This window comes from Homo sapiens, chromosome 1 (assembly GCF_000001405.40).
Source record: "Homo sapiens chromosome 1, GRCh38.p14 Primary Assembly".
In the NCBI taxonomy this organism is placed as follows: domain Eukaryota; kingdom Metazoa; phylum Chordata; class Mammalia; order Primates; family Hominidae; genus Homo; species Homo sapiens.
In genome coordinates this window covers 58,991,013-59,014,232 of record NC_000001.11, presented here as the reverse complement: position 1 = coordinate 59,014,232, position 23,220 = coordinate 58,991,013, and the positions used below count along the sequence as shown (strand labels likewise).

Sequence of the window (23,220 nt, the reverse complement as noted above, 5' to 3'; positions counted from 1 at the left end):
TGTATTACCAATTTACATATTTTTCTTCCAGCCATCAAAAAGAGTATTTCAGGATTTTAAAATTTCCTTCTGGCATGGTACACAATAAGGAATAGCAACATGGTCCCTGGTCACCGAGGCTCCCATGTGCCTAGGAGAAAATGTTTATGGTACAATTTAGCCTGAAGCAAATCCACCGTCAGCATTTTCATAAACCTCACAGAAAGAAGAAACAAAAGCTGTTAAAATGTGAAAATAATTAGGGAAGAGACTTTCCCAGGGAACGAACATGGCCCACACTATACAGAGGGAAGAATAAACAAACTTTGGAGAGGTTATGGAGCTGTAAAACCCTTGTTTATTTCTGAAAAAAGAAATAAAGTTGGAGAAAAGCCACTAGGTCTGCATAATAATAAATCGCGTTCCAGGGGGCGGGGAAGGAGGAGTGAGACCGTAAATTCAGAGTCAAAAACAAAGCAACATTCCAGCACACGTCCCTGGTGGCGTGTGAACCTGCGCCGTTTGCTTTCTGGAGAGATCTGGCTCCTGCCAGTGTCAGTGTCCTTGCAAAGTCAAAGTACCCTGCCTGGTTGCTCCTTGGGGTGGTCACCCATCAGAAAAGCATTTGGCTTGGGTTAAGATTTCTAAATCAAGTCTTAGGGTTGTTCAACTTTCAAAAAGAAAGAAAAAAAGCAAAACACCCTAGTTCCCTCTTCTCGAGCTGAACTTTCCACAGCAGTTTCAGCGCTGACAGAAACTGCAAGGAGCTCAGTGAGGCGCGGCCAGGGCCGGCCCAGGAAGGCCCTGGAGGAAATTCCCATAGCCCGGTGCCCTTGGAAGGGGAGCTCCCTAGGCCTCTTCCCACCCTAGGCTGTGAGTAAATTTGCCTGTGAAAGGTCACAACGGTCTCTTGGCTAAGGGATTTTTCTCCAGGCAAACACCCCAGGTTTCTGGGAGAGACAGGTACCGTTTCCTGAGAAGTCAACCTCCTAGAAACACCGAGAATAACTGAAAACCCTGTGCCTTATAAAATGAGCACAGGGGTGGGGCACCAAGCTGCAGTTTTCACAAGTGGTGAAGAGCCCAATAACATTCTTTGCTTCAGATCTGTAGACTTTTTTCTGTGTTTTTAAATGGAAATTCAAGTGAAGGAATTTAATTCATTGAATATTGACTGAGTGCCTACTACCTGCGTATGCCAGCTTCAAAAGCACTGTATTATATATTCCGCATAACAATTCTGTGAGATAAATACCATTATCATTTCATATTACAGATGAGGATGAGGAAGCGGAGGATCAGAGCTTACGTGATTGGCTCAGTATCACACAGTACCACACAATAAACGGTGAGAATAGAATGCAAACTACAGCCTCTATCTTCATTTCTCTTAATCACTAAGCTCTGCAGTTTTGAGTAACAGAAGGTTCCTGCCTACAGAAGCTAACTGGTTCAAAAATACAGGAGTCGAAATTTTACTACAGTTAATTAGGTTCCCTGAGAGCTGAGTAACAATAATAACAATAATAGTGCTAAGAAATTACTAATTAATGAGCACTGACTATATATGCTCAAGCTAAGTGCTTTCCCTGTGTTATTTTAACCTCTCCACAAAAGCACCCTTTGAGGAAGCTGGTATTCCCATTTTACAGACGAAGTAACTGAGTCAGAGAGCAGATGACGATCTTCCCGAAGCTCACCCAGCTAGTAGGTGGCAGAACAATCTCAGAGTGTCAGTTAGGTTCTACCAGTGGCTCAAAGACAGGTTCATGTGAAGAGTCCTGGGGTCTTGGTGGTCACTGCAGAATATCACCTATAGGCATAATATTTTCTTTTTTAAACTTGAAATGACTAAATGTATAATTTTGTGCTAAGTCGCATGCCATCTTAACAGGTTTCTGGGATGGGCAAAAGCCAAAGACCTAAATGAAAGTATAAGGTTGAAAAAGTATGAAGGCAAAACATAAAATTAATACATCTCTATCTTTTGACTTCTTTCTCTCCTTGTAAAGTGAGTATAGAGGGTTCCTATTGAATTTCATCAGTGGGTCACATCGGTTCAGCTATTGCGTTCCACGAAAGGAGAGTTAGAACCCACCTCCACCACCCGGCCATGTTTTGTCATTCTTTAATATTAATGTAATAGCAGCTGCCCTTTTTCGAGCATCTACATATGACAGTTAGGTTTTTATCCTATTTTACAGATGAGGAGATTCTGGCTCACAGAGGTGAAGTGATCTGCTCAAGATGAAATAGCCAGCTGGTGAAATTACTGAGACAAGCACTCAGGTCCGTGGAGATTTTGTGCAGGGTTATTTCAAATCCCCCACATTAGTTCCATGCCTCATTCTTATTTCTTTATTTCTGCTATTTTTTCCCCTTCACTTGATGTCATAGTTTCCTATTGACGCTGTAACAAATTACCACAAACTTGGTGGCTTACAACAACACACATTTGTTCTCTTACAGTTCTGGAGGTCACAGGTCTGAAATCAGTGTCCCTGGGCTGAAATCAAGGTGTTGGAAGGGCCGCACTCTCTGCAGAGGCTCCTGGGGAGACTCAATTTCCTTGCCTTTTCCAGTGTCTAGAGATGCATTCCTTGTATTCCTTGGGTCATGGCCCCTTCCTCCATCTTCACAGCCAGCAGCGTAGCATCTCTTTCTCTGATTCAGCACCCATGGCTGCTTTGGAGCAGTCTAATCTCCCTCTCTGCTTCTTTCCACACATTGCCTTCTTTTCTGTCTGTGTCAAATCTCCCTCTGCCTCTCTCTTAAAAGGGCATTTGTGATTGCATTTAGGACCCCTCTGGACTATTCAAAGTAATCTCACTAACTCAAGCTCCTTAACTTAATCACACCTTTTTCCATTTAAGGAAATAATCACAGCTTTCAGGGATGAGGACCTGATATCTTAGGGGGACATTTTTTAGCCGACCGCACTTTCCCTCAGAAAATTGCACTTTGCATTATTTTTATGGAAGTGGAAGTGGGATTAAGTTTGATCATCCGCACTATCTTGCTTGGTCTGCTTGGTGACCGTGAACACTATATGCTTACTGATTTCTTTCTAGCTATCCAACTTTGTGAGCCAGTTGCCTCATCAGAGCGTCCAGTTCATGGTGCATGCCCTCTCCCTTACATGGTTGTTATGAGAAAATTTCGCACAAGGCAGTGCCTACTCAACAGTAAAAGATAAGGAATTAAGCTCATGAGAAGGAGAAAAGTGCCTTTAAGGAGCTGATGACCAAATTGTGGCAATATATCACACATACACATGAAAAGTTGCCTAGTAATGCCAAGGATTGTTTACTAATTCACAAGCCATGAAGGACAAATGCAATTCAGAAGAGAAAGTGCCCCATCAGCTGAGGAGGTCAGAGAAGGCTGGAGAGGCTGCAGCGTGTATCGAGTTTTGAATAGTAGGTAGGATTTGTAATAAGTAGAAGGAAGCTACCATATTTGAACATCTTCTATGGGCTGAACCTTTCATACCTATCATCTCTTTTATTCCTTACCACAACCTTGGGTGGTGGGTATATATATATATGTTTACAAATGAAACCGAGGCTTGATCAGAGAGTTTATGTCCCTTGCTCAGCTAGTAGATGGCAGGCAGAGTTGAGATCCAACCTTAAGCCACCAGATGGGTGTGTGTTCTTTCTGCCTTCCAACATCTTTGGCCTGCCACCCTGGTCTCAGGGCTAAGTCATGGTAACATGGTCATGGTGTCCATTGGACAAAGGGAAGAAGATGCCAATAGTGCAGAGGAAAGAAACTACACAATATGAACACCTACAATAGTAGAGGTGGCCCACAGGCTAGATCAGACTTGAAGATACATTTTTGGATGGGCTCACCCAAGGTTTAAAGAAAATATGAAGCCCATCCCTGCAGTTAAAAAAAAAAAAAAATAGCCGCCTGGGCACGGTGGGTCACACCTGTAATCCCAACACTGTGGGAGGCCAAAGTGGGGGGATCACCTGAGGTTGGGAGTTCAAGATCAGCCTGACCAACATGGAGAAACCATGTCTCTACTAAAAACACAAAATTAGCCAGGCGTGGTGGCACATGCCTATAATCCCAGCTACTCGGGAAGCTGAGGCAGGAGAATTGCTTGAACCCAGGAGGCAGAGGTTGCAGTGAGCCGAGATTGCGCCACTGCACTCCAGCCTGGGCAACAAGAGCAAAACTCCGTCTCAAAAAAAAAAAAAATAGCCATCAACATAATGAAGGAGGTAGATTTTAATTCTTACCACTCACTTTCAGGCTTTAATCTCCAGGTTCCTATAGACATACAGGTTGGGGACTCTTGGTAAACCATAACTTTCAACATGCAGGCACTCATTTTGACAAACAAATCAGATATTCTCTACCTTCAACGTTGATTAAACTTTCTAAATAATGTCAGTATACTGACTAAAGACAAATTAAAGCACACTTGTTGAGCCATACCTCCTAGAAGCCCTGCCACAGGTCCCTTCTTCAGCGTCACTGAAGAAGCATCACATGACTATTTGAAATTAATAATACCTCTTGTCAGACATGTACTGCATTTGTGTACAAAACATTTTCCTATCCCTTTTTTCTTATTATCCTCAGAAAAGTGCTATGAGTTAGAGGTTCCTAGTCCAATATGCAGATGAGAGAATTCTTTAGATTGGCAGTGACCCTCATTGGAAAGAGCACTGTGTCTGGGTTCAAGCCCTTGTGAGGTGTCAAGCCAGGGCTTCCCTTTCCTGGCCTTAATCTCTATACCATGTGGAGGTGGTCAGACAAGATAGCTTGTACCAACCCATCTACTCTGAAATTCTGTGAAAGAAGAGCAGAATTTTATAACTGTAAGCATATTCACCCTCCTTTGCAATGGCACAAAACAGCCCCAATTTAAAATAAACTATGAACCTTGGTGGGCAGGTTTAGAGCTTTAGTATCCATTTTGCTCTTCTGCCCCAGTTCTGCCCATGTCTCTGTAGGCCCAGAACACCTTGCCATGTCTCCTTAGCACAGGTTTTTAGAAGGAATGAATTCCTGACTGTGAAAACTTAAACTGGTCCTCTGAAGAAAGTGAGGCTCAGAGAGGTTCAGTACCTTGTCTGGGGACACACAGCTGGTGAATGACATAGTTCAATGCAAGCAGCATGCAGGACAGCAACAGTCTGTGTAGAGGTGTTCCAGGTAAGAGCATTTTCTCTGTGATTCCTCCTGGGGCTGTATGTCAGGTGAATTCAGATCTGTCCTTGAGGTTAGGCCCTTTTAGGTCAGATTCGAGAAGCAACCCTTGGCCTTTTGGAGGTCTGAGGCATCTGCTTTTAAAATATACAGAGGGCCCGATGGCATTACAAGGCAAGGCTGTGGATATATCCGAGCCAATGTGGACACATGTTTGGTTCTGAAGCCAAAGGTTTGCAATTGGCTGGAGTGGCCCAGTGGGTGGCGGTTTGTCTAGCTGATGGTCTGGCACCGTCATGAGTCACAGCCTCAGGAGACAGAACCATGTGCCTGGAGATAGCACTGCCTGGGCCACCCTGAGCCCTGGTCTGTAGTATCCTCTCCACCTCTCTACTTTGGTTTCCTCCTCGGAAAATGAGAAGACAATGCGAATTCCCAGAACTGTTCTGAAGCATAAGACCACCGACTTCACATCTCAGCTTGTCTCCTTGCTGTGTGATTTGGGGCATGGTATTTAATCATCTGAGCCTGGCTTCCTTCATCTGTCAAATGAGCATAACAATGATGTCTCCAAAAGGTTGTGGTTCAGATGAGATAAAATCCTAAGAGTAAGGAGCCTGGCACTTAGGAGAAAGGCAGCCATTTTTGTTAGACTATGAAAGAGTTTTAGGAAACAGAAAGAGCCGCTGCAGTCTACGGTGGAGGTGAAGGCAGCATCACTTCTGTGTTGTTGTTATTATCCTTGACAGATGGGCCTGGACGAGAGGTCTGAGGTGAGTTGGGGAAGGCATGAGTCATGTGAGGGCAGCCCCCGGAGCTCCCAGTGCAAGAGGCACTGCATTTTAAACTAGTTGTGGAATTCATTCCACTGCCTTTTTCAGCCCCAAAGACACTGGAAAAAAATAAAATAAAAAGCAAACCACAGCATTTTCAGGCCTCCCACTGGTTTTGCCTTTCTTCCCCCAACGTATTGTTTTTGGGAAGGGCTGTTTCAGCCACAGCGCTGTCAAGAAAACAAGGTGGTTTCCCTTGACCCTTGGCAACCAACACATGCTTTTTCCTACGCTTTGGTGCAGAAGCCCACAAGTGATTTTTAAAAATAATAAAATTCTTCTCTATAAATAAACCCTTATGCTTTCTGCTGTGGGTCTTGGATGGATGAGTTTCTTCTTCTTTCTGAACTCAGTAAGGGCTAAGTTCCCCTCCACAGAGGAACTGCACATTGTGAAGCAAGGGATATTTTGGTGAATCACCTGCCATTGCGTTTTCCACCAATGCAGGAATGGCAAAGTTCTGGAACTTTTACTTAAAGATCCACCATTCCTCAAGAAGACCTATAGCCTCCACGGAATACCCTATCCCCTCTTCCTCTAGAGATTTTACTACTGCTACCGTTACTGGTTTTCCAGAGTCTGACAAATTAAGCATTTATAAGAATTGACTCAGTGACCGCAGAGCAACAGAAAGAGGATGAGTTTTAGAGTCCAGAGACCTGGGTGTGAATTTTAACTTTGCTCCTGACTAACTGTGTAACTCTGGACAAAAGGCTTATATAATTTTGGGCAAGTTACTTAACATCTATGTTAAATGTATGCCTGCCTTGTTTTTGGGATTCCTGAAATGGATATAAATGGTCCATAACTCATGGAGCTGTGGTGAAAATTAAATGGAAAAAAAAATGCATTTGAAGCCCCAAGTACACAGTAGGTACTCAATAAATGGTAATTGGTATCGGGTAAGTTCTCAGCATGACTAGTTATGATCAAGAAAAAGAAGGCTCATGCAGCGCGGACTTGGAAGTGGGATTTGATGAAGGGACAACAATTTATAGGGATAGGGACAGAGCTAAGGAAACCAATGAGAGATGCTGAAGCACTCAGAGACTTGCAACACCAGGGAACCATTGCTACCCTGAATCTGCAAGGACAGGAAGAGGGTGAGATGTTGCTGAAGCCATGGAGGAGGGGCTGCTGGCAGGAACTACGGTTGCAGAGGAACCCGGCCACTGGCAGACCCTGGCACAGAAGCAGGGAAAGAGCTGGAGGAAATTCCCAACCTCTTTCTCCTCCCACCCTTTAATCTCTTGCCGATGCCTACCACTGGCTAAACCCAACTGGAAGATAGGAGGCAAAGGAGTCCCCCGAGGCAATCAGGGGCATTAACCTCTCTATGGCACAGTGCAGATGGCACAGTGCAGACCAGAGAACAGATCTGGTTGGGAAGGGGGTACAAATGGAGAATCACCAGGTCAGAGAGAATTTATTGTGATTCACATATTGGCTAGTATTAGTCCACCCAAACCATGAATAAATCTCCTGCAAAAATCCTAAAGTGCTGACTGTGATCACATCACTTCAGGTGTAAAAAAGCACATTGGACTCTAGTGCCTAAAGAAATGAGCTCCCTTCTCACCAGGCATCCCGGCCCAGGCCCTCTCTCCCAGCTCATCTCCTGCTTCTCCCCTTCTTACATTCTCTGGAATGCACATGCCCTGTCATGCTTCCCTGCTTTCCACTTACAGTTCTGTTTGAAACTTTCGACGGGTGAAAATCCTCACCAATCCTCTGCCCCCATCTTCCTCTGATTGGCCAACTTCTCATCCTGCAACAATCAGTCCAGTCATCACCTTCTCTGTGAAACATACCTAGCCAGTCCTTCTCTGTGTTCCCATACCTCTAGAAGCAGCAGAGAGTTATAAGCAGGGCTATTCCTGGTTGCCCTAGTTTCTAGCTGCATTGTGTGCTTGCCACTTAATACTCTTGGTGAGTCATTATCGTCATCTATAAAGTGGGCTGATAATAGTGCCCACCACATAGGGTTTGCCTAGGGAAAAAATAAGTCCATATATACAAATCAATTAAAGCAATGCCTGGCATATAGTAAGTATGTAGTAAGAATAAATATTGGCTAACTTAGTTTTATTTTTTTATTACCGTTTTGTCATAGTACTTAACTCACTGTAGTATAATTCAAGGTTTATTTTATTCCACCATTGATTCTGTGAGCAACTCAAGGTTAGAGTCTATGTGTGTATTCCCAATGCCTGGCATAGTGTTTGACACATAGTAGGTGCTCAGTAAATGTTGAATGAGTGAATGAATTAATAAATGAATACATGAATGATATGAGGACTCAAAGTGAGTTTTTGGAATCTGGTTTGAGTTTTCATGTGAACCACACTATATGCCTTTTCTCAAGAATTTGAACAGTGAAGAAGTCAGGTCTAAAAACATTAAGCCCCTGAAGACTGAGATGGGGCCACCCAGCAGGACAACTCTCCTGTAGGCCTAGTTTGGGTGGAACCCTGCCCTGAGCAGCCAGCCAGTTTCTAATCTAATTGTGTGATAAAAGAAACACCTCCTCCACCCTTCACACTTCCTCCTCCCACATTAGAAACCAAGAGTAATGATCTGCATTTGTGCCAGAGCCCCAGCCATCACTGGGGAAGACACACATGTTCCCCTGTTCAGGCAAAATCATCCTTAGGACATGCCAGGGTGGAGGGGTCTGATCAGATAATCCAGGGTTCTGGGATGTTCCAGGGGTCAACTCAGTCCTGAGAGCAGGTGTGTGCTTGGGGAGTGGAGGACACAGAACCTCTGCTCTAGGCCCTCAGCATCTGGACACACTTCTGGACTTCTAGTACTCCTTCCTCACTTCCATTGACTCATTTACTCTCTTACCTGTTTCCTCCCATCACATCCCATCATATTCAGTTAAGATAAAAGGCAAAATCCTGTACAGCCCTGCATGATCTGCCCCCTGGCAACACCTCAGCCCTCATTTCCTCTGCCATCCCCCTCTCTTACCTACAGCAGGTGAGCAAACCCCTTAGCTGGTTTTGGCTGAGCAAACACACTTGCTATTTCCTTGCTTGGAAGTTTCTTGCCTTAGGCATCCTCTTGGCTCTATCCTTCTCCTCATTCATTCATTAGCTCTTTTATTTAACAGACAATTAAACGTTTTTGTTAAATTTTAAATTTTTACTTTTAATTGTTGAAAAATGGACATAAAACTTACTATGTTAACCATATTTAGGTGTGCAATTCAGTGGAGTTAAGTTCATTCACACTGTTGTGCAACCATCATCACCATCCATCCCCAGAACATTCTTCATCTTCCAAAACTGAAACTCCATACTCATTAAACAATAACTCTCCATTTCTCCTTTTCCCCAGCTCCTCACAACCACCATTCTGCTTCCTGTTTCTATGAACTTGACTACTCTAGGCTCCTCATAGGAGTGGAATTATACAGTATTTGCCCCCTTTGTAACTGGCTTATTTTACTTAATATGATGTCCTCAAGGTTCATCCATGCGGTGACATATCTCAGAATTTCCTTCGTTTTTAAGGCTGAATAATATTTCATTGTATGTATAGGCCACATTTTGTTTATCCATTCATCTGTTAATGGACACTTGAGTAGCTTCCACCTTTTTTCCATTATAAATAATACTTCTATGAATGTGGGTGTACAAATATCTGTTCAAGTCCCTACTCTCATTTCTTTGGGGTATACACCCAGAAGTAGTATTGTTGAATCATATGGTAATCCAATATTTTTTGATAAACTACCATACTGTTTTGTTCTGTAATTGCACCATGTCACATTTCCACCAGTAAGGCACAAGAATTCCAATTTCTCTACATCTTCATTAACACTTGTTATTTTCTGTTATTGTTCTTTTTGATGGTAGTTATTCTATTCTAATGACTGTGACATGGCATCTCATGGTGGTTTTTAACAGACTATTTTTTGAGCACCTACTATGATCCAGGTCTAAACTGAATGATTGTCAGAGCATGCAAGTAAAATCTAGTCCCTGCCTGCCAGGAAGGGAGAGGGCAGAAAAATAAACCAGAAGTGAACCATATGTGAAACTGAGCCCCTTACTGATATTCTCTCATTTGATCCTTACAATCTCCCTAAGGTGGGTGTAATTATCCCATTTTAGTGAAGAAACCAATATTCTCCAAAGTTCAGTAACTTGCATTCTGGTCATAGAACTAATATATGTGACCCAACTGAAAACACATGTTTTTGAGACTTAAAAGCTCTTTTGTCTATGACAGTTGTTCTCAAATATTTTTTTTAATTTAACTGAGCAGAAAAATATAAAAATAATTTCGAGGCATCGATAGAGTGTTGCCAACTTTTTATTTGGCAAAATGAGAACATTGGAAATCAATTAATTTATGATCTAATGCCACTATCCCTGCATAAAAAGAAATTTTAACCACATACCCTTTGGAAAAACACACACACACACACATGCATGATAAAAGAAAGTTTATTCAACTGAATAAACTGAGCTTTATAAGAACCCCACTCCATTGCCAGTATTTTCCTCATTTCCCTGCCCCGGTAGTGAGGATCATGTCTCAAACTATGGCCAGTCCTTGGCTTCTAGGTGTGGAGTAAACCAGCCTCCCAGGCCCTCAGGTGCTGTGTAGGTGTCATGGGAAATGCAAAGCCAAACGTGAGGCTGCCTTCAAAAACTACAGAAGACAAATTTAGTCATGGACACGGCAGAGAGAATTAAGTGTTCTCGCTGCTTAGCCAGCCTGCTTTGCAAACAAGGAGGTCGGAATGTTCACCAAACCTCACCATTTCCTCCACTTTTATAACCTCTCTTGAATTTTCCTCTCTTTCACCCCTGAATCAGGTTCCATTTTCCAGAGGGAAGTAAAAACTTCTATATACAAAAGCCACCACAAACAAAGAGAAAAGATGAGGCATGAATGGGAAAGTAGTTGCTAAATATATAAAATACACAAAGGTTTGCATTAAGAATATATAAGATTCCAGTAGGGAGGCTGGGTGCGGTGGCTCACGTCTATAATATCAGCACTGTAGTAGGCCGAGGGGGTGGATCACCTGAGGTCAGACATTCGAGACCAGCCTGACCAACATGGCGAAAGCCCTCCTCTACTAAAAATACAAAAATTAGCAGGACATGGTGGCGCAGGCCTGTAATCCCAGCTACTTGGGAGACTGAGGTAGGAGAATCACTTGAACCCGGGAGGCAGAGGTTGCAGTGAGCCAAGATCCTGCCATTGCACTCCAGCCTGGGCAACGGGTCAAGATTCCGTCTCAAAATAAATAAATAAATAAATAATTTAGTAAGGAAATCAATAAGCAAAAAGGGCCCACTATCGCCCTGCCTTCAGCCTTGCCTGAGTCTACACTGTTGTCCACACAGCAAGCAGAGTAATTGCTCTAAAGTAAAGCATTGCAGTGGATTGTTCGTGTGGTTGACCAGTTCAGGATTTGGGTCTAGGCTGCCTGGTTTTCATCCCAACTCTTATTTTCTAGCTTTCTGACTTGGAGCAAGTTATTTAACCTCTCTGGGTTTCAATTTATCTCTAACTGAGGATAGGTGTGCAAGCTTCATAGGGTTGTTGTGTAAAATAAGTAAGCTACTACTTCTAGAAGTTAGAGCATTACCTGGCATGTGGTAACTGTTTAAGAATTACTAGCATCACCTGCGGGAAGCCCTCGAAGACCTATTCTTTCCTCCTCCCCTACGCTTTGTGCTTCCGTAAGATCCTGAGGACGCTTTTATCAGTGTTTATATATTTTAAATATATAGTGCTTACATAGTTAAAAAACTTGCTGGGCACAGTGGCTCATGCCTGCAATCCTAGCATTTTGGGGGGCTGAGGCGGGCAGATCACCTGAGGTCAGGAGTTCGAGACCAGCCTGGCCAACATGGCGAAACCTTGTCTCTACTAAAAATACAAAAATTAGCCGGGCGTGGTGGTGCATGCCTGTAATCCCAGCTACTGTGGAGTCTGAGGCAGGAGAATCATTGAACCCAGGAGGCAGAGGGTTGCAATGAGCCGAGATTGCACCACTGCACTCCAGCCTGGGTGACAGAGCCAGACTCCTTCTCAAAAATAAATAAATAAAATAAAATAAAAAACTATAAAATATTCACTATACAGGAAAATACAGACAATGTAATGAATGGTCATGTCTCTTTCATTTTGCTCTTCAAATCTTATCATTTTGTCATATTTGATTCAGATTTTTTAAGAAGAGTTCGAACATTACAGTAAAGCTGCGGCTCCTTGTGTGTCAATCTCCAATCCTATTCCCTTCTGTCACTCCCCAGATGTGGCCACTATCTGATTTTAATATTTGCTATTCCCTTGCAAACATTTATACTTTATCCATAAGCAATTGTAATAATTTTGCATATAGCAAAACTTTATATAAATGATATCATACTATAAATATCCAGCAATTTTCTTTCTTGGTCAACATTTTATCTTTGGGATTTATTCATGTAGAATTATGTACTCTATTTTTGTAGTTGCCATTTACCATGTTAAGGAAGATCCCTACTATTCCTAGTTTGCTGAGTCTGCCATAGATAGATATTGCTTTTTCTGCATCTATTATCATGTAGTTTTTCTTTAGTCTGTTAATAGGGTGGATTACAGTCTTTGATTTTTTTCGATGATGAATCACCTTGCATTCTTCATATTAATCCCACTTGGTTGTGAGCTATTATCCTTTTCATATGCTACTGGATTTGATTTGCTAATATTTTGTTTAATTTTATTTTATATTATTGTGCTGTGTCTGGTTTGGATATCAGGATAATGCTGGCCACTTAAAAGGAGTTGAGAATGTTCCTTTTCCCTATTTTTTGAAAGCTTATATACAATTAACTTTTTTTTAATGTTTGGTGCAATTCACCAGTAAAACCACTTGGACCCAAACTTTCCTTCATTGGAAGGTCTTTAACTATAATCTCAATTTCTTTAGTAAATATAGGACTACGTAGGTCATATATTTCTTCACTAGTGAGTTTTGGTAGTTTGTGTATTTTACGAAAATGGACCATTTTATCTAAGCTGTCAAATTTATGAGTTATTTATAGTATATCAATTATCCTTTAAAATCTGTGAGTTCTGCGGTGATAGCCTCTTTTTTGTTCCAGATATTGGTAAATTATATCTTTTCTCTTTTTATCTTATGCTTTCTTCATTCCTAAAGTCCAAGTATTTTTGTTGTTTTATCATTCCCTCTCCACCTGAAGAACTTCCTTTAGCATTTATTTTAGAGCAGGTCTACTAGTAACACATTTTGCTGATTTTCCTTTATCTGAGAATATCTTAATTTTGTCTTCGCTCCTGAAGGATATTTTCACTAGATATAGAATTCTGGGTTTGCAGCTCTTTTCTCATAGGCCTTTAAAAATGTTGTTTCACTGTTTTCTGGTCTCCACGGTTTCTGATGAGAAATATGCGATCATTGTTCCCCAATGTTTTCTGGTTTCTTTCAAGATGTTTTTCATTGTATTCAGTTTCATCATGTGTCTTGGTGTATTTTACTTTGAATTTATCTTGTTTGGGGTTTCTTGAGCTTTTTAAAGCTGTAAATCTATGACTTTCATCAAATCTGAGAATTTTTCTTTTTTTTGAGATCTGAAGTGATTTTACCTTTAATTCCGTCACTTTAAGCCAATCATGAAATTTCACAGTGATTTCTGGGGTGGGGGCAGAAGGAAGTCGATGTTAAATATCATCAGGGCTGTGGTCCAGTCAGCCTGTGGAGGTGCAGGCAAGGTGGGCCCTCACTGGGGCAGCTGGAGGAGCACGGACTGCCCCGCTGGCAGGTAGGTGATGTTCTGAGAGCGTGAGAGCTGGTAGGCGATGTCCTCCGCAGCTTACAGCTTGCGCAGCTCGATCAGGCCGTCCCCTGCAGTGGCCAGTGAGTTGGCAATCAGCTCAGCTGCCTTGGAGTCACCCTCAGCAGAGATGATAGCTGCCTTTTTCTGCTGCTTAGCCTTTTCCATCACAAATCTGGCCCTTTCTGCTTCCTGCTGAGCCACCTGTTTGGCTCCCACTGCTTCTGTGAAGTCCTTCCTGAAGGTCAGATATGTCAAGGACACGTCGTCCAGGATGAGCCTAAAGGTGGCTGCTCACTCCGTAAGGTTGTCGCTCACCTGCCTGGAGACCAGCTCTCTCTGGGTGATTAGTTCTCCAGCATCAAAGCAAACCACCACTGACTTGAGCATCTCAGTTGTGATGGATGGCAGCACAGGCTCATCATAGTCCTCTCCGATGCTGGTGAAGATGCGAGGAAGCTGGCTAGCGACGGGCTGGAAGGGGATGTGCAGTGTGATGTTGACATTCTGTAAATCTTTGCTACCAGTGATGACTGACACATTACGTGGTCAAGAATGGCAGTCAAAGATAACTGGTTTCTGTACCCAGAGGATGAGAAAGTGAGTCCCTTCCCCTACCACAATTTCCTGTACTCCACGGAATCGGTCAAGGATGACAGCTCTGTGCCCAGCATCCACATTATATAAGGCAGAGTTCACCACGCCTCCTGCAACAGCTTAGACCAGGCCAAACTTGCCTATGGACTCAAACACTTTGGCAGCCATGTTTTCTTCTGCTGGACCTCTCACACCTGTTTCCACTTTGACCTCCACATGAATTCCCCCGAATCTGAGAAGTTTTAGCCGTGATTTCTTCAAATATTTTTCTAATACTAATCTCTTTCTTCTCTTTTCTATCATTCTGTCATTTCACTCTGATGACATGAATGTTACATCTTGTGATATCAGGCCACTTGTCCCTGAGACTGCTTATTGTTTTTCAGTTACTTTTCTGTATTTTTCAGATTAGATAGCTTCTATTGATCTATCTCAGTGGTCAGAAAACCATGGTTCACAGGACAAATCTAGCTTGCCTGTTCATTAAATAAAGATTTATTGAAACAGCTATTTCCATTAATTTACATATGATCTATGGCTGTTTTCATGCTATAATTGTAGAGCTGAGGAGTTATGACATAGTTTATGGTCATTCAATTCTAAAATATTTACTATCTGTTCCTTTACAGGAAAAGATGGCCAGCCTAATTCCTCATCTTCAAGTTCACTGACTCTATCTCCATTATGTTACTGATCTCCTTCAGCGAATTATTTTATTTCTATCATTGTATTTTTCATTATAAAATTTTCATTTTTTTTCAATAGCTTCTCTTTGCTGAAAGTGTCCATCTTTTCATTTGTTTCACTATTCACTAATGCTCTCTCCCACTTCATGGAGCTTAATTATATTTGTGTGTGTGTGGAGGAGGTGTGTATGTGTGTGTGTATAACAGTTTCTTAGAGTCTTTGTTTATTCCACCATCGGTACCTTGGTCAATTTGGTGTTGGTGTGTGTTGATTGGTTGATTGTCTTTTTTCTTTGAGAGTTGGTGAGATTTTCTTGTTTTTTTTTTTTTGTTATTTGTGTATTGATTAATTTTGAATTGTATCTTAGACATTTGAATTATGTATAATTCTCTAGGTCCTGTTAAGATTCTTTGAAGAGGCTGGGTGTGGTGGTTTGCCTGTAATCTCAGCACTTTGGGAGGCCAAGATGGGTAGGTCACTTGAGCCCAGGAGTTTGAGTCTAGCCTGGGAAACATGGCAAAACCCTGTCTTTACAAAAAATACAAAAAATTAATCAAGCATGGTGGTGTGCACCTGCTGTCCCAGCTACTTGGGAGGCTGAGATGAGAGAAGTACCTGAGCCTAGGAAAGTTGAGGCTGGAGTGAGCTGTGATCATTCCATTGCACTCCAGTGTGGGTGTTGCACTGAGACTCTGTCTCAAAAAAAAAAAAAATTCTCTGAAGAATGTTGATTTTTTTCTAAAGCAATTAAAAGAGTTAGGCTCATACCCCAACTCCCAACTTACTTTTTGTGGGATGAGGTTCTAATGCTAGCTTCATTTTCAAAGCCTTTGCAGTGCTATTAGGGTCTGCCCCATGTGGACACTATCCAGGGGCTGGTCTGGGGCCTAGGAAACGGCCCACATTGTAGTTCAGACTCAAAGCCTTCATTATACTGTTTTGGGTCAGTTCCTTGTACGTGAATCCTGCGAGTGAGCCCAGGATTTCATACCCAGATTTAAGAGATCTCTTTTTCCATCTCCCTCTTCTCTATGATTTCCCCACTCTTCCATATGCAGGGTCACATTTTCCTGTTGTGCTGGAGAGAAAGCCAGGGTTTTAGCCTCCTGTGCTGTCAGACATTTTTCACAACTGTGTCCACTTTGAGAATGAAGCAGTTAGAAAAAGGAGGAACAAAATAATGGAGACTGCTTCACAGTCTTTAGACTGCAGGGGTCTATTTTCCCAGTTCCTTTGGTCAGAGGGAAGAATTTTCTCTTACACTTTTTATTGCCTAAGAACCACTGTTGCCACCACTGCTGCAGGAGTATAGTTCATGACTAAGTCTGGCTTTGGCACCAAGCTAGGAGAATAAAAAAAGTAAAATGAAATGAGAGTACCCCTACAGTCTTTGTCCTGAAGGGCCCGCCCTCCCAGTCTTCCAGCCAGAAAGAGAGAGTTCATCTTGATGTTTTTCTGTCCATGTTTACTGCACACTTCAGAGATCCAGGCTGCCCTAGGGTTTCAGCTAGGAGATATAGCAGGGGGAGAAAACCTCAGGACACTTAACCCCCTAGTGATGGTTGATTTTATGTATCAACTTGACTGGGCATTGGGGTACCCAAACATTTGATCAAACATTATTTTGGGTGTGTCTACAAGGTTTTTTGTGAATGAGATTAATATTTAGATTGACAGACTGAGTAAGCAGATGGCCCTCCCCAGTGTGTATGGGTATCATCCAATCAGTTGAAGGCCTGAATAGAACAAAAAGACTGACCTTCCCATGAATAAGAGGGAGCTCATCCTGCCTGACTGACTTCGAGCTGGGACATTGTTTTTTTCCTTCCTTCAAACTTGAAGCATCAGCTCTTCCTAGGTCTTGAGGCTACCAGCTTGTGGACTGGTTCTACACCAGTGGCTCTCCTGGTTCTCAGACCTTCAGATTCAGAATGGAACTATACCACCATCTGTCCTAGGCCTCCAGTTCACTGACTGAAGATCTTGAGGCCTTTCAGCTTCTATAATCACATGATCCAATTTCTTACAATAAATCTCTCTTGATATATAGATATATATCTATCTATATCTATAGACAGATATATATCTATAGATACATCTGTATGTGTGTATATATGTACATATATCTTTATGTGTGTGTGTGTATATATATATATATATACACACACACACATAAAGAAAAAAATATATATATATGCATCCTATTGGTTTTCTCTTGAGAATGCTGACTAATTACACCCCTGTATCAGTTGTGCTTTCAGTTTTTATTTCCCTTCCCAACCCACCTGTTATTGTTTACTTGTCAGAGTCCTCAGATAAATCCTTATGTATTCTCTCCAGGCTTTTTAGTTGTCAGTAGTAAGAGAGACAGATTAGAGTGTGCTCACTAGCTAAAACCAGAATGTCCCAGCTCAGTTATTTTTAACTGTTATAAGTCTTACATGAGATGAATATACTACAATGCATTTCTCCATTGATACGCTCTTGGGTTTTGTCTGCGTATTCTCTGTGAATATATGCAGAGCTTATCCACAATATATACTTAAATGTGAAATTGCTGAGATACAGAGTATACCTATCATCAAATTTACTGAATAATGCCCAAATGTTCTCCAAAGTGATGATGTAACAATTTAGACTTACACCAGCAATGTCTGAGTCTTTTCACTGTTTCCTGTGCTCATCAACTGTTGGTATCATTAGATTTTTCAGTATGTGACAATATGTATGAAGTGATACCTCAGTGTTTTATTTTTCTGATTACTAGTGATATTGGGCTTCTTTTCCAAAGTTTACTGCCCATTTATATTTCTTCTTCTGGATTTATTTGTTTATATCAGTTCTTTTCTGTTAGACTTTTAAAAATCTTTTTCTTATTGATATTCTTAGTTAATACTTGTATATAGTCTATTATCTTTCATATACGTAGCAAATACTTTTCCCCATTTGTCTCTTGCCTTTCTCACTTTGTTTATCGTAACTTTGGTCTGTGGAAGTTTTTATGTTTTAATGCCAGAAGAGGGAATCATTGTAAATACTTTCTTCTTTCTTACCCTCTACATTAAGTTAGTTTCCAAACCCTATTGATCTAGATTTCCAAACCCTGTCTCTGCCATCTAGGCCACATTAACTTCTTCTGCCCCAGTTTAGGCCCTACTGCCTCTCTCCTGGACAATTACAATAGTTTCTTAATAGCTCCCTGATATCCGCTCTCACCTAGACACACAGTCTTTATGGGGCCCTTTAAAACATGCAAATCCAGGTATTCTTCTGGGTTAAGACCTTTTGTGTTTTCCTTCACATAGAGGACCAAGTGTAAGCTACTTCACATGGCAAACAACAACAAAACACTCCACCAGGCTCTGCCCATTGCTGGTTCCTCCAGCCCCACGGACTCCTGCTCACACCTATGCTCCAGAAACACTGTGCTGCTTCTTTCTTCTTCAGAACACCAGGCATTTTCACACACTGACTTCCTAACTGACACCTTTATATTTAAAATAACCGGTGACAACTCACTGTCTCCCTTGCCTCAAAGAAATATTTCCAAGGCTTCAGGGTGGGGTGGGCGGCTCTGGCACAGAATGAATAGCTACTATGTACCAGACACTTCCACCTATGTAATAGTAATATTTAATTCTCACAGCAACACTCTGAGTATAGACCACTGACCTCATTTTATTGACAAGGTGGCTAATGTTCAGAGATGTTAAGCAACTTACTAAAGACACAAAGCTTGAAAGCAGCAGAACCAGAGACTGAACCCAAGTGTTTGGTGCTCTAGTGACTGATGCAGAGCCTTTCTGGCTCATAAGGACTGGATTTGAATCCTGGCTCTGCCTCTCCCTAGCTTTATGACTATGTAAAAGTCACCTCACCTCTCTGAGCCTCAGTTTGCTCATTTGCAAAATTGGAAAATTGTACTTAATGGTCTGTAAGCTTCTTTTCCTCCTGGAGACATAAAATTCTCTGCAATACCCACATGGTCCTACACATTCCTTCGGTACAGTGCTTCATGCTGAGAAGAGTTGACTTTCTGATGATCCCAAGTCAGCAGAAACCTGATGATCTTCTCCCACCCCCTTTAAAGTTTTTATACCAGTTTCTGAACTAGCACAACAACTCCTGCCAAAAGTCTGCATGTCTAGGCTCATGCCTCGCTTATTGCATCTTTTCCTGGAGCCAAAAATCCACTAGAAAAAGGGAGACAATAAATCCAAAAGCAATATTCTCACGAAATTACATTAAATTCTGCTCACTCTCTGAGTGACCATGTGTAACCCTCTGCTCCACTTTGAGCCTTGATGTCCTCACATGTACAAAAATGAGGGTTGGTTTACAGTAGACTGAAGTCCAACCTTCTATGATACTGAGACATTAAAAACCATCTGTGGCAAGAATTTGCTAACAAAAGAGTGAATTATGAAATAAATCCCCAGTCTCCTAGGGAAAACTGAACCTCAGCATGTTCAGGCTGTCTCTTTTGGAATTCTCAGTTACTGTCTCAATTTCAAGGTGAGAGTGCAGGAAAAATTTCCCAAAGAGCAATGATTTAAAACTGAAGAAAGGAGGGAAGGAGAGGAGTAAAACGAAGTTCCGTCTTATCCAGGATGGACATTTAAGATGGTGCCTTTTTTTTTTTTTTTTGAGACAGAGTCTCGCTCTGTCACCCAGGCTGGAGTGCAGTGGTGCCATCTCGGCTCACTGCAAGCTCCACCTCCCGGGTTCACGCCATTCTCCTGCCTCAGCCTCCCATGTAGCTGGGACTACAGGCACCTGCCACCATGCCCGGCTAATGTTTTTTTTTTTTTTTTTGTATTTTTAGTAGAGACGGGATTTCACCATGTTAGCCAGGATGGTCTCCATCTCCTGACCTCGTGACCTGCCCTCCTTGCCCTCCCAAAGTGCTGGGATTACAGGCGTGAGCCACCGCGCCCAGCCAAGATGGTGCATCTTAAGTTTGCAGAGACTTGGAGTCAGGTGCTCTTAGGTTTAACTCCCCGTGCCATTACTCACCAGCTGTGTAACATTAGGCATGTCACTTAACCTCTCTGGGCCAGTTTCATTATCTGTTAAGATGTAGGCTAGTCATTTTTATCACAATTACCTGTGAGGCTTACAGAAGCTGGCATGTGAAAGTAGCTGTTTATTACAATGTAGGTGTTCAAAATTGCTCATCTATTTTCTTGTGTATTTTCTATTTAAAGAAAATTAGGAACTGCCAAGAGAACACAAAGAAACTCAAGGCCAGATGTTTTCAGATGACACATCTATAAAAAAGTGCTCTGGTAGCATCCTGAATCACAGAATCCTAAAACTAAAAGTGACTCTAGCAACGATCAATTACAGAATGATTAGAGCAGCTTTACTATGCTGTATCCCCTGCCATTTGCCACTGCTTGAATACCGACACTGATGTCGGAGGTCACTGCTTTCCAGAGTTCATGAAGAGAGGTGGCTTGGGGGCAAAGCATTGGTACTTCAAATGTCAGACCCAATGACCCTTCCAATAATGAAGTCTCCCTATGTCCTCATTTATAATCTAACTATTACGAAACAATTTGCAGTTTCTAACACACTCCTGTGTCATTCTACCAAACTTTTGTCCTTGCTGTTCTCTCTCCTTGGATACTCTCTCCCTGCTTTGCCCTCTTCTTCATCCTTTAAGATGCAGCTTAAACATAACCACCTCTGAGAAGTCCTCAATGAACTTCCTGCTCCAAGTTGGGTTAGGAGCTTCTCTGTACCCCCTATGTCCTTTTATAGAGCATCCAATTAAAGTAAGTGATATTATCTCTTCACATATTGGTCTCTCTCACTAGACTGGGGTTGTTCAAAAGCAGAAACCTTTACTTCCACATGTCTATATCCCCAGCTTCTTGCACAGGGTCTAACTCAGTAATGTAACTATAAACTCTCTGAGGGGCTGAGCCACCCAAAGGAGCAGGGAGGTCTGCGTAGAGGAGGCAGTGGCTGTGTTGCATGGGGAGGATCTGCCCAGCAAGTGAACTCAGATCTGGTCTCCTGAATGGGATAAAATAGAGAAGAAAGGCTTTTATTTCAAAAATTCTCTGGGAATGGTTTTTGTTTTATGTCTGTCTGCCTCCACCTGAATGCAAGGAAAAGTCAGTGGAAAGTATCGAAACAGACTTTTCTATTCTTCCCCCTTAAACTACACCCAGCAAATGGGTGGAAAGCTTGGACATGTGTCTCAATCACACTATGCTCCAAGAACAAAATAGTAACTGTTCCTCAGGTTTATTTGAACAGGACAATGGGGTGTAATGCCATTAAGTTTTAACCAAGTTATTCAATAATGTGGGAGTAGGAGGGATAGACATTCTACCAATCCAAATACTTGACACTGTGCTAGGTGCTTTCCACACATTAGTGCACAATACATCTGTGAGGATAAGGATTGTTGTCTGTTTCACACATGTAGAAACTAAAAGTCTAGAGGTTAAATAACTTTAAGCTAGTCTTACATGTAGGAGGAGACCGATCTAGGTATGATTCCGAAATGTATGCTTTTCTGTAACAGCCCAATAACCAATATGTTAGAGATTGTAAATTACCTACCAAATACTTGTTTTCCCCTTTGTGTTGCAATATGGAACTCCTATTCTTTACTGGGCAAATTGTCATCTAGAATAAAGCTACATTTCCTAGCTCTCCTTACAGGTGGAGAAGTCACAGGACAAAGTTCTGCTCAAGGGTGGTGTAGTCAGAAGGGGCTAGTGGGGCTTCAGGGAAGGCTCCTTGAAAGGAATAGTAAAGTGTCCTTTTGCTTTCTCCTGATTTCTCCTGCTGCCAAGCTAAAACCAGACGTGTTTCATGGATCTCTGAAGCCATGTTGGACCTTGAGGTGACTTTGAGGATGGAAGCCATGTGATAGAATGGGGGTGTCCCTGATAACCATAGAGCCTTCAACCAACGCTGGGACTTCGGACTTCTTTTGTACAATAGAGGAAATCCTCATGTGCTTAAACCTCTGTTTCTGAGGCTGATAAAATACTTATGAAGTCTAGGCTGAATCACAAACTTACTGTGGAGCTTTAGGCAAATTATTTAATCATTTTAGACCTTGATTTTTTTTTAATCTGGAAAATAAGTAAATTGAATTACAGCGGCATTTTCAAAGGTTCTTTCTAAGGCTAAAGCAATTATAATAACTGGGCAACCAGCACTGCTGGGTCTAAAAAGACCACAGAATATCAAAGTCCTTTTCTCAGGATTTCCAAAGTAGTTAGGAAGACAAGCAGAACATTCATTCATTCATTATTCATTCATTCATCCATCTATTCATCCAGTGTAGAGAATGCTGTAGAGTACTGCCCAGATGCCCAACTAAGATCATTCCCCTAATTGCCAATAGTGTTGGTAACTGACAGCTCACAGTTCTTCTTGTTCAAGATTTACTCTTGGTTGAATGGTACTCCCCCAAGCAAAGCTATGCCTGGTTTCTATTGGCAGTCCATATCCATCATGGATTGATGTCAAAGGTACAAGAACCTGGTCCCCTGGCCTCAATTTGTGACAATTCAGAAGCACCATCCAAACTGCAGAGCCTCTGACTGCTGCATCCCAGCTCAACTTCTCCCTCCACCTAATCCTACTTTGCTTACTCCCTCATGGCTGGTGTTTCCGGAAGCACTCACCAGTAAACTTCCTGCATGCAAATATCTGCCTTAGAGTCTGTTTCCCAAGGCACTGAACCTCATCCTAAGACAGTTGGTACCAAGAGTGGCTCTACACTGGGATTTTGGAGCTGAATCACCTGCTGTCTGGCTGGCAACTAAAATCCCATCTCTGGAGCAGGGAGAGTACTGATAGAACCTGGCATGCTATAGCCTGACAAATGGGAGAATTTTCACTTTTAGGGAGCTGAGATGGGGTTATAGTGAAAGGAAAGGCACCCACAGGTGTAATATATCAGATATTCAAGAGCTATGGAGGAAAGCACAATTATTAAGACGGTGGAATGAGATGCTGCTGCTGAGTGCTATCAGTGTATTGGAGAAAGTCGTGCAGGCTTGAAGTGATTATTCACTAATTTAAGACAAAGTGTGAAAGTCAGAGGGCCTCCTTGACAGCATTTTCTTATCTCCTGCAGTTGGAGGGCAGGAGAAGCTGAGAATCAGGCC

At 42.0% G+C, this 23,220-nt stretch overlaps 1 pseudogene, besides 7 other annotated features; it reads right to left on the bottom strand.

Moving 5' to 3' along the window:
- Positions 590 to 669: an enhancer, noted in NCBI's record as "active region_1101". NCBI's record gives its function as "activates an Ori minimal core promoter by ATAC-STARR-seq in GM12878 lymphoblastoid cells {active_cell/tissue: GM12878}" and the evidence as "EXISTENCE:reporter gene assay evidence [ECO:0000049][PMID:35858748]".
- Positions 5,796 to 5,865: an enhancer, noted in NCBI's record as "active region_1100". NCBI's record gives its function as "activates an Ori minimal core promoter by ATAC-STARR-seq in GM12878 lymphoblastoid cells {active_cell/tissue: GM12878}" and the evidence as "EXISTENCE:reporter gene assay evidence [ECO:0000049][PMID:35858748]".
- Positions 5,906 to 5,955: an enhancer, noted in NCBI's record as "active region_1099". NCBI's record gives its function as "activates an Ori minimal core promoter by ATAC-STARR-seq in GM12878 lymphoblastoid cells {active_cell/tissue: GM12878}" and the evidence as "EXISTENCE:reporter gene assay evidence [ECO:0000049][PMID:35858748]".
- Positions 5,976 to 6,025: an enhancer, noted in NCBI's record as "active region_1098". NCBI's record gives its function as "activates an Ori minimal core promoter by ATAC-STARR-seq in GM12878 lymphoblastoid cells {active_cell/tissue: GM12878}" and the evidence as "EXISTENCE:reporter gene assay evidence [ECO:0000049][PMID:35858748]".
- Positions 6,296 to 6,405: an enhancer, noted in NCBI's record as "active region_1097". NCBI's record gives its function as "activates an Ori minimal core promoter by ATAC-STARR-seq in GM12878 lymphoblastoid cells {active_cell/tissue: GM12878}" and the evidence as "EXISTENCE:reporter gene assay evidence [ECO:0000049][PMID:35858748]".
- Positions 8,610 to 8,809: an enhancer, noted in NCBI's record as "active region_1096". NCBI's record gives its function as "activates an Ori minimal core promoter by ATAC-STARR-seq in GM12878 lymphoblastoid cells {active_cell/tissue: GM12878}" and the evidence as "EXISTENCE:reporter gene assay evidence [ECO:0000049][PMID:35858748]".
- Positions 13,582 to 14,616, bottom strand: PHB1P3 (PHB1 pseudogene 3; annotated as a pseudogene).
- Positions 17,260 to 17,399: an enhancer, noted in NCBI's record as "active region_1095". NCBI's record gives its function as "activates an Ori minimal core promoter by ATAC-STARR-seq in GM12878 lymphoblastoid cells {active_cell/tissue: GM12878}" and the evidence as "EXISTENCE:reporter gene assay evidence [ECO:0000049][PMID:35858748]".